An 18106-nucleotide genomic window follows, 5' to 3' on the forward strand; every position below is an offset into this window, starting at 1 on the left:
TATAAGTAAAACATAGTTATAAAACACTGGTCCTTTTCTAGAGCTATTTTGTCTTTTTTTGAAAGTACTGACTGTTATCTGAAAGCAATCTCAGAATAAAAGAATAGTCTTCCCCATTTCAGGAACTAAGTAGTATGTGTAGAGTTAACATGGAAAACCAGAGATCAAAGTCATGATATCTAAACACATCCAAAGGGGAAGATGACAAAGAGTACCATCTTTTATTTCACTAATGATTGAGACCATTTGTTCATTTATTCACTCTGCAAATATTTATTGAGTAGCTGCCACATACTGGTATTTATCTAGGTGCTTGAGATACATCAGAGAAAACACAAAGATACCTGCCTATCTGATAGAGCCATATAAACAATAATCAATAAACATGATAAGTTAGGTGTACATATATGTTAAGGCAATAAGCAAGACTTATTCCACATTTTCTATTAGCTTGTAATACTTACGACAAAACTCCCGGCTGGGCGTTGTGGCTCACACCTGTAATCCTAGCACTTTGGGAGGCTGAAGTGGGTGGATCACTTGAGGTCAGGAGCTTGAGACCAGCCTGGCCAACATGGCAAAACCCTGTCTCTACTAAAAATAAAAAAATTAGCCGGATGTGGTGGCGCACACCTGTAATCCAAGTTACTCAGGAGGCTGAGGCAGGAGAATCGCTTGAACCCAGGAGGCAGAAGTTGCAGGGGGCCAAGATCACACCACTTCACTCCAGCCTGGGCAAAAGAGCCAGATTCTGCCTGAAAAAAAGCAAAAAACAAAAAAAAAACTCCTAATCAACCTCTGTCTTATAGTTTCAGAAATAACAAGAGACATCAATTCTTCTCCCTTCTCTCTCTCATAGGTATTTTATTATTAAAAGATATTTTAAATCTGGGAGGCTGAGGCAGGAGGCTTGTTTGACCCCAGGAGTTGAAGGCTGCAGTAAGCTACGATCATGCCACTGCACCCCAGCCTGGGTGGCAAAGCAAAGCTCTGTCTCTAAAATAAACAACAAACAAATCCTAAATCTATCTGCATCTACATGACTAGATCATGTCACAGACAGAGAAAACCCCCATGGTATGTTTCTTTTTTTTTTTTAATTCTACTTTGTGTAACAAGTTTCTGGTTTAAAAATCAGAAAGACTAAAATCAAAACTGCACGCATCCCAAATTATCCCAGTGAAGTGGGGTGGAGGATGGGGCAATAATATAGAACAGGGTTCAGGATGAATTCTACAACATCATATGAGTTAGGTATGGGTATAGAGAGCAAACAGGCTTTACTGGGGGAAATTATGAGCGTCATCAAGGGAAGGCCCGTGTCCCTGATTCTGCCTCTGAAAGGCAAGCCAGAGCCTGCACCGCTGCTGGACGGGCAATAGGTCTGAAGGGATGCCATCCAACTGTTGCTCCCACTCTGGTAGGAAAAGGGTGAGAACAACCTTGTCAGTAGGGGAATAGACAGAAAGCCAGGCCCCAAGAGTCATGGCTCAGGCGTCATCTGTTTCCATGGGTTGTATGGAAAAGCCAGCTGCCCAGCCGTAGGCACCTTGAAGAGTGGGCTTTGGGTGCAGCTCTTTCAGTTTAAGGGGCGGACAGGGCAGAAGGAGTCTTAAACAAGCCACAGGTCCTGGTTAGACAACCCAGAGTGAGCTTCCTGGGTCACTCTTAGATAATTCTGCTCATTGGATTGCAGAAAACAAAGAGAACAGCATGAAAGCCGCTTTTAAAAGAGAGAGAAAACACAATAACAGAACTGTGGCCAAATATACATTATATATAGTAAATATAAGTGGCAGAAAACATAGAATGGATCAAAACACAAAACCTAACTTAAAAGAAATATTCCTACAAAATGTCTCAGAATAGTTCCAGATAAATGGCTATCCAAATGTAGAGGAGGCAAATTAGAAAGAGAAAGAAATAAAATCAAGTAGTAAGAGTTTTCAATATTAACACTGGACAACACTGAATTCAAACTAAAAAATATTAGGGAGAAAAAGAGGATCACCTTGTAAAGATTAAGGGGACGATCCACAAATGAAGACACAAGTGCTATAAGCCATTACGCATCAGTTAATACATTGCTTACATAAGGTTTAAAAGTGGAGGAAACAGAAGGAAACGACAGACACAAAATGGTGGAGAATACTGACATTATTCTCTCAGTCTTTGCCCAAATAAAAGGATATTTAAAATTTGGGTATTATAGTTAAAATGCCACATATGTATTTGTCAAGAGAGCTGTGTGCATATTATTGTGTGTTATCAAACCCTGTACCCTTAATAGAGAAGAATAAACATTCTTTCAAACATGGAAAACTTACAACAATCAACCAAATTTTAAAAAACAAATTTTCAAATAACAGAAATAACTCAATCTATGTTTCTCTGACCACAATGCAATAAAACTGGAACTAAATAACTGAAATAAAAACAAAAATAAAATAAAAACTACTTAGAAAGTATCAGATTCTCTCATTTTTTAGGAACTTAGATAAAATAAGAAATCAGAACTGCCAGGTACTACAGTTCCAGTGTAAGAAAAGACAAATCAGTAGACCCTCGTTACCTACACTGAATTACACTGAAGTAACAGATGGGAGTTTATATAACATGGGGAGAGCATTACAAATTAGTTGGGGGTGAAATGACTAGTCAACCAATTAAAAAATAAATTAAGCTGGGTCTCTACCTTATTCTTTACACCAAAATAAGTTCCATCTAGAGGAAAGATTTAAAGTTAAAACAAAAAAGAATGCCTAGGGTTGGGGTGTTGAGGGAAGTTGCAGTGCTGGGGAAACGGGGAATGACTGCTAGTGGGTATGGGTATAGGGTTTCTTGTTGGGGTAATGAAAATGTTCTAAAATTGGTTGTGGTGATGGTTGCACAACTGTGACTATATTAAAAACCATCAAACTGTACACTTTAAATTGGGCAAATTAAATGATATGTAAATTTTATCCCAATAAAGCTGTTATAAACAAATTAATAAATTTTAAAAATTTTAAAAAATGAAACTAGAAATATTAGAAGAAAATGTAGATAATTATTATATAATCTTGGACTAGAGAAGTCCATTTTAAACTTTGCAGAGAAACCAGAGAACACAATGGCAGTGGGTGTAATTTGACTACCTTAAAAAAATAGAAAAGTTCTGTTAAGAAAGAAACATGAATAACAACTGGGAAAAAAAGATTTGTAGCGCATTTGAAAAAGGTGTTATTATCTCTAGTATACAAAAAGTCTTTAAAAATTATTAATAAAATATAGCACAATGTGAAAATAGAACTAAGGCACAAACTAGTAATTATTTTTAAAAGGGGCAAAAAAAGCCAAACAAGTCATCCTCAGTAACAATCAAAGAAGTGAAAACAAACAGATATTTTTCACTTTGCAGGTTGACAAAGATTAAAAGGATTGACCAATTCCAGCATCAGTGAGGACATGAAGAAATGTGAATCCTCAAGCTGACAGCATAATCTTTCTGGAAGATTATTTGACACTTGTATAAAAGTATAAACAGAGTGTGTCCTTTGGTCTAGAAACTTTACTCTGGTTAATTTATTGTAGTTGCCCACAGAATAAGAGATAGCATAAAGAGAAAAAGAGATGGATGGATGGATGGATGGATGGATGGATGGATGGATGGATAGATGGATAGATGGATGGCTAGCTAGCTAGAAGATAGATAGATAGATAGATAGATAGATAGATAGATAGATAGAAGAAGTCATTGGATGGATAAATAGATGAATAGATGGACGGATAGCTAGAAAGACAAATGGATGAATAGATGAAACATGAATGGATAGATGGATAGATAGACAGAGACTCCAGGACTCCAGGAAGGTAGGAGAGAGGAGCCAGGGAAGCTACAGTAACCTCAGCAAACATTAGAGTACTTTCTCTCTGCAACACCTCCATAAGATGATGACACAGTTTCGATGGTTTGAGGTCTCTGCGTCTGCGTTCAAATTTCAAGTTCCAAGGAGAGGGGATCCAAATGGCTCACCTTGGGTCAGACGTCTATTCCTCAGGAATGATCAACTATGAGCAGCACGTGTGTATATATGTGTATGCTGGACGATTGAACTGCCCATCCATCCCCTGGAAGATCGTTGTCAGCATTCACACTTCCAGGAATTTACCATAACAAGATAGATAAATATAAAGTAAATTTAAATGTATGTAAAAAGCTATTTATCATAGCGTTAGGGTATCTGTGAAAGTTGGTCTATTTATAAATATCTACTAGTAAAAAATGGTTAAGAAAAGTATGATAATTATTCAATTGACTATCATATAGTCACTGAAAATGACTATGCAGATTTATATTGATTTGCATGACATTGCTGAGTGATAAAAACAGGTTTTAGAACAATATTTGCAATAGAATCCCATTACATAAAATTGTATATCTATGTCTCAGTAGGTGAATGTCTGTGTGTGGGTGTGTGTGTGTGTATTGAATTTTTAACAAATACTTAAAGTGGTTATTTCTATACAGTAGAATTTTAGGCAATAATTACTTTTGTGTTTGCCTTTTTTGTTTGTTTCAAGTTTTTTTCCCCATTATTCTGAAGGCCCAATAGCTGAATTCCTATTTGAACTTCTTTTCTACCATCTCTAACTTGCGCATAATTTATGATCTGGAACCTTGTGTAACAAAGTCAATAATATGAACAGGGTTTGTTATTTACATTTATTATTAATATTTGAATATTAGCTTTCAGATATTAGTATTCTTTATATGCTAAAACATGATCAGCTAATAGAAGTATAAATATACTACAATAATTAATTATTGTGAAAGCTGTAAATTTTAACAAAAAATTGCTAAGAACTTTCAAATGTGTAAATATGAAAACAGTTTAATATTTAGTGTAAACATTGTGAGTTTTAGATACATAAAATTCAGGGACATTATATTGCCTTTGAGCCAAAATGTTCACAAAATTTTAAATAGAAATATGTCATAGAAGATCGAAATTAGATTATTTCATCAATTGTAGTAGTTATAGGATTATTTGGTATATCAGTATTTTTAGTGTTAATATTAAAAATTTATTGCCGGGTGCGGTGGCTCACGCCTGTAATCCCAGCACTTTGGGAGGCTGAGGCACGTGAATCACAAGGTCAGCAGATCGAGACCATCCTGGATAACACGGTGAAACGCCGTCTCTACTAAAAAATACAAAAAATTAACCGGGCATGGTGGTGGGCACCTGTAGTCCCAGCTACTCGGGAGGCTGAGGCAGGAGAATGGCGTGAACCCAGGAGGCGGAGCTTGCAGTGAGCAGAGAACACGCTACTGCACTCCAGCCTGGGCGACAGTGTGAAACTCCATCTCAAAAAAAAAAATTATTAAGTATAATAAACATTATGAGTTTTTAATTACTAATTCCATTTAGGCTAAGTATCTGAAAAATATCCTGCCTAGGGAATTCCTCAAATTTGAAGAGAATAAATTAAAAACAGAAATAACAAATTTTCCATCTCAAACTCCAAAATTTGGTAAAGCAACACTCATGACACCCAGAAAATCCAAATACAATAACGAATATAAGGAGTATATGAAAGGAAGAAAGCATTAAAGAAAAGTTAAGGACTCAAAACACATTGTTTTTACTAACCATGCTTCAACATACAAGAATACTTAAAGAAGTCAATTCCTTATATTTTTAGATTTGTAGAGGCTAAAATTTTAAACAAAATCTTGTCAAAATGATGTCTATGATATAAACTACTGATCATTTCTACTCACTGAAAATTAAGAATTTTTGTCTGAACTACAAATCTTAGAAACAATGCCCCTCTAGAAAAAAAAATTGCCTTAAATTCTTTTTTCCTGAAATATATTGAGCTGTGCATGAAAAGTAAGTGATAATATTAAACATGTCAATTAAAGAGAATCTACTTAGTATCAAAATTGTGCAGTTCGATAAACACAGACCCAATCTAGAAGCTGTTGATTTTGAGGGACTTCCCATACTATAATGTCAAACTTTTTAACTTAACCTCACTACTTTTGACTTGGCTACTAGCTTTTATAACAGCATCATCATAATTTTACAATTTTATAAGTTTATTAAAAGTTCTCTATTTTCTTCTACTACCTATTTTTTTTATTTAAGAGATAGAGTCTCACTGTGTTGCCCCAGCTGGACTTGAACTCCTGGGCTCAAGTGATTCTCCCACCTCAGCCTCCCAAGTAGCTGGGACTACAGGCTTATGCCACTGCATCCAGCCTATCTTCTTCTCTTCTTCTTCTTTTTTTTTTTTTTTTTTTTGGACATTTGTCAACAATTCATGTAAACACTATTTTGCACATGCTGTGAGGTAGGACCCTAATATTATTCTATAAATTGTGCTGAGACAGTTGGATGATGTATTAGATGGCTAGGGTTGCCCTAACAAAATACTACAGACTGGGTGGCTTAAGCAACTGAAACCTGTTTTCCTACCTTTGTGGAGGCTGGACATTTGAGATCAAGGTGTTGGCAGAGCCGATTCCTTCTGAAGCTTCTCTCCTGGACTTAAAATGGCCTCCTTCTTGCTTTGTCCTCATGTGGCCTTCCCTCTGGGCATGCATGCTCCTGGTGTCTCTCTGGATGTCCTCAGATCCTCTTCTTATAAGGCCACCAGTCAGAATGGATCGGGGCTGACTTTAATGGACTCATTTTAATTTAATTACCCCTTGGAAGACCCTATCTCCAAAAACAGCCACATTGTGAGGTACTGGGGGTTAGGGCTTCAACATTTGCATTTTGGGGAACAAAAATTCAGATGGCCATAAAAAGAAAAAAAAGTTATCCTCAGCTCTCTGATTTGAAATGTCATTTTATTAATTTTAAATCTCATAATAAAAGTGAATCTATTTGTGTTTTCTCCACTTTGTCCCACGGACCTGTTTGACCATTTGTGCCTCAATACCATACTAGTTGAATTGCTGCAACTTTTTGATGTGTTCTGATATCTGGATTAGCAAATCCAGTCTGTATTCTTTTATAATATTTTTAAAAATATGCTCATTTAATCTTCCAGATATACTTTGCCTTCAACCTGTTAAAATTCCCATAATAAAAAGTCCTACTGTGATTCTGAATAAAATTTTATGAACTGTATGAATGGTTTGGGTAAAGTTGACCTTCACACTGTTGACTTTTTCCTTTCAAGAATATGAAGTCTCTTCATTTATTTAGGTCCCCTTTGTGTCCTGCAGTAAAATGTTTTTGTTTTATTTTTGAAAATATTACACATATTGCTTTTTCCCCTAGGGTACTACATGACCTTTGTTACTATTGCAAATAGAATATTTTTATTATGTTTACTTGTTGGTTGTTGTTAGTATACGGCAAAACTATTTTTCTGTGTTGACTTTATACCTAACTAATTTACTGAATTATCTTATTGGTTCTAACACTTTTTATGTTTGAGCAGTTTGTGTTTTCTCTGCAATTTTAGAACTTAATTATAAAGGCGTGTCCTGGAATTCCTCAGCTGTTTTTGTCAGGTTCACCTCAACGCACTCTTCCCCCTTTGCCCTGCCTAGCAGAAAATCCCATTGTGTCTTCTCTTTCCCTTTCTGTTCCACTCAAAACCACCTCCAATTAGCTTCCAGGGAATCCAATGTCATGTTGTCAGTTGACCCAAGTCAACTCCTAGATTTCTATTACTTTCATATACTGAGCAATTTAAACCTTTTGTCTAAACATTACCTATCTAGGCTATATGTATTATTTATATTTTTTATCTTCTGTATATTATGATGTTTTCACATCTTAAAAACTCTTCTGACTGGGGAGAGACTGCCTTTCCAGGGCTAGCCAATTCTTAGAGACGGCAAAGGACTCAGCCAGAGCATGCCTTTGATATAAAAACTAACCAACGCAGAGCCACACCTCCTCTATCTGGCTTGTGCACCCCAGGAAGGGGTGCCTTCATCATCCCAGAGCCAGGTACCAGGCCACTAAAGACCATCCCTCTAGCTTAGAACCCACTGGAATCATTCAAACTAGCCAGTCCTAAACTGGTCACCATGCCCTGCCCTGCTTTTCCTAGGGAAATCGCAGTAAAGACTATAGCCTAAACTCTCCCTTTGTTTCTGTCTTCTGCCTCCTGAGGAAAACCTGGTACTTCCCCTGTGACCCTGTATGGCATGTGCTGACCTGTCTGTAAGACACATGAGTACAGTAAACTCTGTCTCCCAGTGCCTCTCCTGTGTCTCCTTTTTTGCTGCACCTGACTGATCATCTCATGGAAGAACACAGAACATTGTACCAGGGCAGAACTACTGTCAAAATGAAACATTCATTAAGGCATGCTTTTCCTCAATGGATGAGAATACTATTTCCTATGAGTAAATCTGCTTCTCTCCCAAGCCCACAAGTCCCAACTATTTTTAATTTGTCTTAGAATTCTACTATTTTGGCAAAACCAAACATTAGTATGAGATATTAACAAAATAGGATTAAAAACCATTGAAGTTATGATATAATTTAGCTAATATACTTTTAGAATGAAGAGCTATTTTAAGACTTGTCAAAGATAGCATGACAGTTTATGGTTGACACCTGACTGTAATATTTATAACATCTCTGTAGCACATTGATTCCAACAGAAAGAAATATTTATTGATCAACTAATTTTTAAATATTTGTTTTATTGTGGAAACTTTCAAATATATACAAAGATGGAGAGACTAGATAATGAAATCACACACTTATCTCTGAGTTTCAACAATTACCAACTTGTGGCCGGGCGCGGTGGCTCATGCCTGTAATCCCAGCACTTTGGGAGGCTGAGGCGGGTGGATCACGAGGTCAGGAGATCGAGACCATCCTGGTTAACACGGTGAAACCCTGTCTCTCTACTAAAAATACAAAAAATTAGCCGGGCGCGGTGGCGGGTGCCTGTAGTCCCAGCTACTTGGGAGGTTGAGGCAGGAGAATGGCGTGAACCCGGGAGGCGGAGCTTGCAGTGAGTCGAGATCGCGCCATTGCACTCCAGCCTGGGAGACAGAGAGAGACTCCGTCTCAAAAAAAAAAAAATACCAACTTGTGGCCAGTTTTGTTTCGTCCATACTCCTCACTTTCCCACCAGACTTCTGCATTATTTTGAAGTAAATCTCATGCATCATGTAATTTCATCTGTCAATACTTCAGAATAAATTAGATGGATAATTTTAAATCTAGTTTTTCATATATATCTGTATAAGCTATACGTACCCTACCTGTAAGTATTTACATCTAAGAATGAAGATATAGGTAAATTCTTTAAATAAATTTTAAAAAGAAAGAGCACACACTAACTCTGTCCAGGGACCTGGGTTCGCCTCACTAACTCTGGAACCTGGGTTGCATTCCTTCACCTCTCAACACCTCTGCTTCTTCATGTTTCTTCTGTTCTAGGTAATCTGAGATCCCTCCTGCATCTAAATCTCCCTGATTGTACCTAAAATTTATTGTTATACTTAAGAATCTACTAATATCTGTAACTAGAGGCTCTGGGTACTAACATGGAAAGAAAATGGATTTTCTTTTGGAAAATGGATTTTGAGATCAAAGAGGCTTAGGTTTTATTCTGACCCTGCCGCTTAACAGCCAGGTAACCAAGGGCAAATTATATGCTTTTTTCTGCCTCTGTTTCATCTCCTGAAAAATGAGTTTCAAATATTTTTCACAGGTTAGGAAAAGTAGTATGAAAAGAGCTATAGTAGCTGTCACAAAAATAGGATACCCTAAATAATTCACTGGAAAAAATACTAAAAATTCGATTTGTATGTTTTAATCGAAAAGAAAATAAATTAAGCCTAATGGAGATTGAATATACAGGTTGACAGTGGGGCCCTCACTTGTTCTATCAGCTAATTAAGTATGGGTTTCTTTTTATTTATCATCCCTGGGACTTATTACAGTCCCTGAATTTTAAGAGTCACATTTTCCATTTGTTCTGGAAAAATTTTGGCCATTATTTCTTTGAAAACTGTCTTATTCTCTCACTTTGAAACTATATGATTTGATATAGGCTAGAGCCACCAACCCTGTAATTTGTGTTTCTGAAGCACTTCTTCATATTTTCCAATTCTTCATCTTTCTATGTTGTGTCAGGAGTATTTTCTCATATCTACTTTATAGTATATTAAGTCTGCCTTTGATCATGTGTCTCCATTGTCCCCTTTTTTAACCCTAACCCCTGAGACTTTTTAATATAGTATTGTATTTTGATTTCTAAGACTTATTTGTTCCTTTTCCAAATCTACTAAGGTCTTTAAAAATAGTCTTTTTTTCTTTATTCATACATTCAATATCATCTTTTATTCCTTTAAACATGTTATACTATCATGTTCAGTATAAACCACTGTTATTTTGTGTACCTGATAATTCTGCTACCTAAAAATCTCTAAAGAATCTGGTTCTGCTTGCTTTTCTTTACTTATTTGTTTCATTCCTTTTACTGCCTCTCATGGATGAGATCTTGCTTTCCCACGTATTACTGTTTATTTAGTTCATGTCTGCTTAAACAATCTTCTCCTGAATGACTTTGGGTGCTGTTAAAGACATTCAGTTTTATAACAGAAGCAGAGCATAAAAGTTCAAAAAATTTGCAGCCTGATGATGCAGTAGAAAAGAAAATGCCATTTTCGGAGGAGAAATTCAAGCCAGCTGCAGAAATTTGCATAAGTGACAATGAGCCGAATGTTAATCCCCAAGACAATGGGGAAAATGTCTCCAGGACATGTCAGAGGTCTTCACAGCTGCCACTCCCATCATAAGCCTGGAGGCCTAGGAGGAAAAAGTGGTTTCGTGAGCCAGGTCCATGGTTCCTATGCTGTGTGCAGCCTAGGGACTCGGCGCCCTGCATTCCAGCTGCCCCAGCCATGGCTGAAAGGGGCCAACGTAGAACTTGGGACATGGCTTCAGAAGGTGCAAACCTCAAGCCTTGGCAGCTTCCACATGGTGTTGAGCCTGCCAGTGCACCGAAGTCAAGAATTGAGGTTTGGGAACCTCCATCTAGATTTCGGAGAATGTATGGAAACGCCTGGATGTCTAGGCAGAAGTTTGCTGTAGGGGTGAGGCTCTCATGGAGAACGTCTGCTAGGGCAGCAAGGAAGAGAAATGTGGGGTTGGAGCCTGCATAGGGAGTCTCTACTGCGGCACTGCCTAGTGGAGCTGTGAGAAGAGGGCCACCATCCTCCAGACCCCACAATTGTAGATCCACTGACAGCTTGCACTGTGCACCTGGAAAAGCCACAGACACTCAATGCCAACCCATGAAAGCAGCTAGGAGGGAGGCTGTACCCTGCAAAGCCACTGGAGCAGAGCTGCCCAAGACCATGGGAACCCACCTCTTGCATCAGCTTGACCTGTATGTGAAACATGGAGTCAAAGGAAGCAGTTTTGGAGCTTTAAGATTTGACTGCCCTGCTGGATTTTGGACTTGCATGGGGCCTGTAGCCCCTTTGTTTTGGCCTATTTCTCCCATTTGGAATGGCTGTATATACCCAATGCCTATACTCCCATTGTTTCTAGGAAGTAACTGACTTGCTTTTGATTTTACTGGCTCGTAGGCAGGAGGGACTTGCCTTGTCTCAGATGAGACTTTGGACTGTGGACTTTTGAGTTAATGCTGAAATAAGCTAAGACTTTTGGGGACTGTTGGGAAGGCATGATTGGTTTTGAAATGTGAGGACATGAGATTTGGGAGGGACCAGGAGTGGAATGTTATGGTTTGGCTGTGTCCCCACCTAAATCTCATCTTGAATTCCCACATGTTGTGGGAGGGACCCGGTGAGAGGTAATTGAATCACAGGGGCAGGCCTTTCCTGTGCTTTTCTAGTGATAGTGAATAAGTCTCACGAGATCTGATGGTTTTATAAAGGGGAGTTTCCCTGCACAATCTCTCTTCTCTTGTCTGCTGCCATGTGAGATGTGCCTTTCACCTTCCGCCATGATTGTGGGGCCTCCCCAGCCACATGGAACTGTAAGTCCAATAAACCTTTTTCTTTTGTAAATTGCTCAGTCTCTGGTATGTCTTTATCAGCAGTGTAAAAATGAACTAATACAGAAGTCCTGACTAGAGCAATCAGGCAAGAGAAAGAAACAAAGAGCATCCAAAGAGGAAGAGAGGAAGTCAAACTATCCCTGTTTGCAGACAACGTGATTCTATATCTTGAAAAACCCATAGTCTCAGCCCAAAAGTTCCTTCAGCTGATAAACAATTTCAGCAAAGTTTCAGGATACAAAATCAGTATACAAAAATCCCTAGCATTCCTATACACCAACAACAGCCAAGCTGAGAGGCAAATCAGGAATGCAATCTCATTCACTCTTGCCACAAAAAGAATAAAATACCTAGGAATACAGCTAACTCGGGAGGTGAAAGGTCTCTACAATGACACTTTGGGAGGCTGAGGTGGGTGGATCTCTTGAGGTCAGGAGTTCAAGACCAACCTGGGCAACAAGGTGAAACCCCATCTCTACCAAATATACAAAAGGTAGCCAGGCATGGTGGTGCGTGCCTGTAATCCCAGATACTCAGGAGGCTGAGGCATGAGAACCACTTGAAACCAGGAGGCAGAGGTTGCAGTGAGCTGAGATCACACCACTGCACTCCAGCCTGGGCGACAGAGTGAGTGAGACTGTGTCTCAAAAACATCACTATCACTATCACTTGTAAGGCCTCCCAAGCCATGTGGAACTTAAGTCAATTAAACCTCTTTCCTTTATAAATTACCCAGTCTTGGGTATGTCTTTATTAGCATTGTGAGAACATGCTAACGCAATGGGTTAAAGACTTACATGCAAAACTCAAAACTATAAAAACCCTGGAAGACAAACTAGGCAATACCATTCTGGACATAGGAACTGGCAAAGATTTCATGATGAAGATGCCAAAAGCAATTGCAACAAAAGCAAAAATTGACTAATGGGATCTAATTAAACTTGAGAGTTTCTGCACAGCAAAGGAACCTATCTAGAGTAAATAGACAATCTACAGAATAGGAGAAAATTTTTGCAAGCTATGCATCTGACAAAAGTCTAATATCCAGCATCTATAAGGAACTTAAACAAATTTACAAGAAAAAACAAACAACCCCATTAAAAAGTGGTCAAAGGACATGAATAGATGATTTTCAAAAGAGGGCATACATGTGGCTAAAAAGCATATGAAAAAACTCAATATCGCTGATAATTAGAGAAATGGAAATCAAAACCATAACGAGATACCATCTTAAATCAGTCACAATGGTTATTATTAAAAAGTCAAAAAATAGCAGATGTTGGCAAGGTTGCAGAGAAAAAGGAATGCTTATACATTGTTGGTGGGAGTATAAATTAGTTCAACCATTGTGAAAAGCAGTACGTTGATTCCTTAAAGAGCTAAAAACAGAACTACTATTTGACCCAGCGATCCCATTACTGGATATACCCAAAGGAATATAAATTGTTCTACCATAAAGACACATGCACACATACGCTCATTGCAGCACTATTCATAATAGCAAAGACATGGAATCAACCTAAATGCCCGTCACTGGTGGACTGGATAAAGAAAATGTACATATACACCATGGGATACTATGCAGCCATAAAAAAGAATAAGATCATATCCTTTGCAAGAACATGGATGGAACTGAAGGCTATTATCCTTAGCAAACTAACACAGGAACAGATAATCAAATACCACATGTTCTCACCCACAAGTGGGAGCTAAATGATGAGAACACATGGACACAAAGAGGAAAACAAGAGACACTGGGGCCTACCTTAGGGTGGAGGGTGGGAGGAGGGAGAGGAAGAGAAAAAAATAATTATTATGTACTACACTTAGTACTTAGGTGATGAAATAATCTGTACAATCAATCCCCATGACAAGAGTTTCCCTATGTAACAAACCTGCACATGTACCTATGAACCTAAAATAAAAGTTTGAAAAAGAGAAAGAAAGCACTTTCCCTCATATTTATAGGTGTTGCTAAAGAGAGTTCTCTATCTCAGTGGACTGCTTGGTAATGGCTATGAACAGGAATAAGTGAGAGCAGAGCCCACTCAGGCAGACAGGCCCTTCTGCGTGAGATAAAAACACATCCTGTTCTTGATAGTGCACATGAAAATTTAAAGTTCCTCAAAGGCTTGAGAAAACCACTGTAGCCTGATTCACAAGAATTGGTCCATATGAAGTGTCGTTTTTGGGCAGGGGTAGGACCACGTCTTCTTCCTCCTTTTCTCCTCCCAACTACATATGCTTTTCTTATCTGATGAAGTTTTGCAGAAAATGTTCTTACAGGGGTTGTTTACGTAAATGGTGTGGCCTTTTGGCTCTTTTAAGCCTTGCATAGTTCATAGCCAGCTCATCCTCTCCTTCACTTTCTAAATGCCCAAGGGCAAATGAGTAGATCCTGCAGCAAGAAGGCACAGAGCATTACACAGAAATGCAAACAAAGGCAGACTCTGGCCAGGCATAGTGGCTCACGCCAATAATCCTAGCACTTTAGGAAATTGAGGCAGGAGGATTGCTCGATTGGAGACTGGCCTAGGCAACAAAGCAAGACCCTATCTCTACAAAAAATTTAAAATTAGCCAAGCACGGTGGCCGCACAGCTGTAGTCCCAGCTACTTGGAAGGCTGAGGTGGGAGAATTGCTTGAGCCTGGGAAGTCAAGGCTGCAATGAGCCATGATCATGCCACTGCACTCCAGACTGGGTGATAGAGTGAGTCCTTGTCTGAAAACCAAAACCAAAACCAAAAAAGCTCCCAGAAAGACACGTTCACAGATGTCAGCTGTGTTGGGTACCCTGGGAAAAGGCTGCACTCCCAGCCACAAGCTCCTCTCCTGCCCACCCTCTCCCTCAGGGATCTGTCACCCTGGCCAGGTGATGGGGGCTGGTTGCATAGAAAGGGTTCCCTGCCAGCTCATGCACCCCATCCCCTCCCTGCTTCACAGACTCTAGGTGGGCATCCAGGCTCAGGGAGCCGTGGAGACTAGGATGAGAAAGAAGCCAGGCTTGGCTCAAAAAAAGGAGAGAGTGTATGGGAGGGAGAAGGGCAAGGAGTAGGGAAAGACGAAAGGGGAGGAGGGCAAGGGGAGATCCACCTGAGAGTGTCTTGGCTGAAGAACATTAACTCCCTGACCAGAGAGGAGCTCCCTGACCAAGGCAGCCATTAAGGTCCCCTCAGCTTGGCTTAACTGTACATGGGTTTCTTCCAGACTACAGGCCCCTGACCTACCTTTTTTTGTGTCCTACAGTAAATTTACTTTAGAAAACTTGTAATCGTACATTTTTCCTCTATCTTCTTTGAAATATATATAAATCTTCTTAAGAGTCTCTTGCCGGCCTTAAGACCCAGGAAATGTCTTTCTGAAGGAACTAGGGCATCTCTTATAAACGTAACCACCAAAGAAGACAGCACCCCATCTCAGTTTCTTTGAGAGGGTAGGAGTCTGACTTTAGTGGATGCCTTACTCCAAATTCTAAAATTACCTCCTGTCATGAAGATAGGAGAGAGTTTACTTTTCCTTTTGGTAAAGCCAATTAGCAAATACAGATAGGCTACAGTCTCCCTATGCCCACCTGACTCTTAAAAACTCTTCAGTCCTTTGTTTCAGTGAAGCTGAGTTCACACTCTCTCCTATTATAATAGTTTTGTTTAAAAAGTCTTCCTTGCCTGTTTAATTCTGTCCAGTGCAATTTACACTTTGACATCTCCTAACCTAAAAACAAATGGGATTTTTCTTTTTTTGCAAAAAGATTAAAGTGAGTTTTGTTTGTTTTTGATGACAAATAGAGGTCAGGCTGGGAAGGGATTTGCCCTGTATGCCCTCAACACTAAGGGAGTATGTTTATACCAGAGTCCATTAAGTAAGTGATTTACTTAAATACAAAAATAAGGCTTTAGATAATGGTGGGCCATCTGATTGGGAGCAAACTTCCTGTTGAAACACCTTAAAATGCTGGATTTTACAAAAAAAAAAAAAGCTTTGAAGAGTCAAGATCCTAACTATTATCAAGCCAAAATTTAATCAAAAGCAAAATCCAGATTTAATAGGTGAAGAATTCAAAAGCACTTTGTTACCGAAGAATTTCCCCTGACTCGTTGACGGTCCTATAGTCCAAGATCAGTATAAATGTTCAAATCCTTGGGTGAAGGAATTTTCCTGCCATCATTTCCGTTTTGTGCAGCTATTTCTCTTTACGCATTTTACTAACTATCCATGCGTGAAGATGGAGGAACAAAAGATGGGTAACAGTTAGCTAAGCAGCTGCTGCTGAAAATAAATAAAGCCCAGATCATCTTAGTGTGATCTTGAAAATTATCTCATGAAGTCAGCTGACCTCTTGCTCCCAGAGGGAAAGTTGCTGGTAACCAAATGTTCCCAGTTGAAAGGTCTAAACCTAAGCTAATATCCTAGCTCACACACTAAGTACCTCCCTAAACACTTCTTGGTAAAGTTATTAGATTTTTAAAATAATAAAAAATTGTATGATTCTTAATCACAAACCAACTGAATTAACTTACAAAGGTTGGAGAAAGGGAATATTGGAGCCACACTTGTAAGTAGTGTGGGAAAATTGTATATTCACATGCAAAAGAATACAGTTTGATCCTTACCTTACATCATCTACAAAAAATAACTCATAACAAATCAAAGACCTAAACCTAAAAGCAAAGACTATCAAAGTATTGGAAGACATAGGGGAAAATCTTCATGACATTGGGTTTGGCAACGATTTCTTGCATATGACACCAAAAGCACAGGCAACAAGAGAAAATAGATACACAGGACTTCATCAAAATTAAAAACTTTGGTGCATCAAGGATTCTATCAAGAAAATGGAAAGACAACAGAATGGGAGAAAATATTTGCAAATTATGTATCTGATAAGAGCTTAATTTCTATAATATATTAAAATCTCCTACAGCTAAACAATCCAATTCAAAAATGGGGAAACGACTTGAATAGACATTTCTCAAAAGCATATATACAAATAAATGGTCAATGAGCACATGGAAAGATCCTCAACATCAGTAGTCATTAGGGAAGCGCAAATCAAAACCACAGTAAAATAACACTTCACACCTATTAAGGTGGCTATTATAAAAATAATAATAACAGAAAATAGCAAGTGTTCATTAAGATATGGAGAAATTGAAAGCATTGTGCATTGGTGGGAACGTAAAATAGTGCAGCTTCTGTGTAAAACAATATGGTCATTCCTCAAAAAGTTAGACATAGAATTATCATGTTATCCATCAATTTCACTTCTAGGTATATAGCCAAAAGAATTAAAAGCAGGGATTCAAACAGGTACTTGCACAAAGTGTTCATAGCAGCATTATCCACAATAGCCAAGAGTTAGAAGCAATCTGAATGTCCATCAGCAGATGAATGGATGAAATGTGGTACAAAAATACAATGAGATATGATTCAGTCTTAAAAAGGAATGAAATTCCTACACATGCTACAACATGGATGAAACTTCAAGACGTTATGCTTGGTGAAATAAGCCAGACACAAAAGGTGAAATTTTATATGTTTATATGATTCTACTTATATGGAGTACTTAGACTAGTCAAATTCATAGAGACAGAAAAAGTAGAATAATAGAAGTTATCGGGGCTAGGGGAAGGGGGTAAAGAAGAGTTACTGTTTAATGGGTGCAAAGTTTCTGTTTGGGATGATGAAATGGTTTTTGAAATAACGGTGATAAGTAATAGTTGCATAACTTTGTGAATGACACTTAATGCCACTAAATAGTATATTTTAAAATGATTAAAATGGGAAATTTTATGTAATGTCTTTTACCACAATAAGATATATAACTGATATTATAACATGTTAAAATTAAACAGTGACTAGGGACAGAAAAATACACCAAGGGAAAGTGAGCATATATAATCTACATACGCAGCCTGGTAAGTGATGAATGCCATGGCAGGTCATTGGGAAAAGAATGGACCATTCCGTAACCGATGCTGGAACAGCTGGTTAGCACTATGGAAAAAAATACAGATCTCCATCTTCCACTACTCACAAAAATACATCCCAGATACGCTAAAGGTCTAAATAGGAAAAGCAAAACTTTAAAAATTCAAAAGAA

The 18106-nt window shown here is 38.3% G+C and overlaps 1 protein-coding gene across 5 annotated transcripts in view; it reads right to left on the reverse strand.

Annotated features, from left to right (window-relative positions):
- The window catches only part of RNF6 (ring finger protein 6), a 90971-nt gene that overhangs the window by 22157 nt on the left and 50708 nt on the right, over positions 1–18106 (reverse strand). The window lies entirely within an intron of this gene.

The sequence above is a fragment of the Homo sapiens genome, chromosome 13, assembly GCF_000001405.40.
Source record: "Homo sapiens chromosome 13, GRCh38.p14 Primary Assembly".
Lineage (NCBI taxonomy): Eukaryota > Metazoa > Chordata > Mammalia > Primates > Hominidae > Homo > Homo sapiens.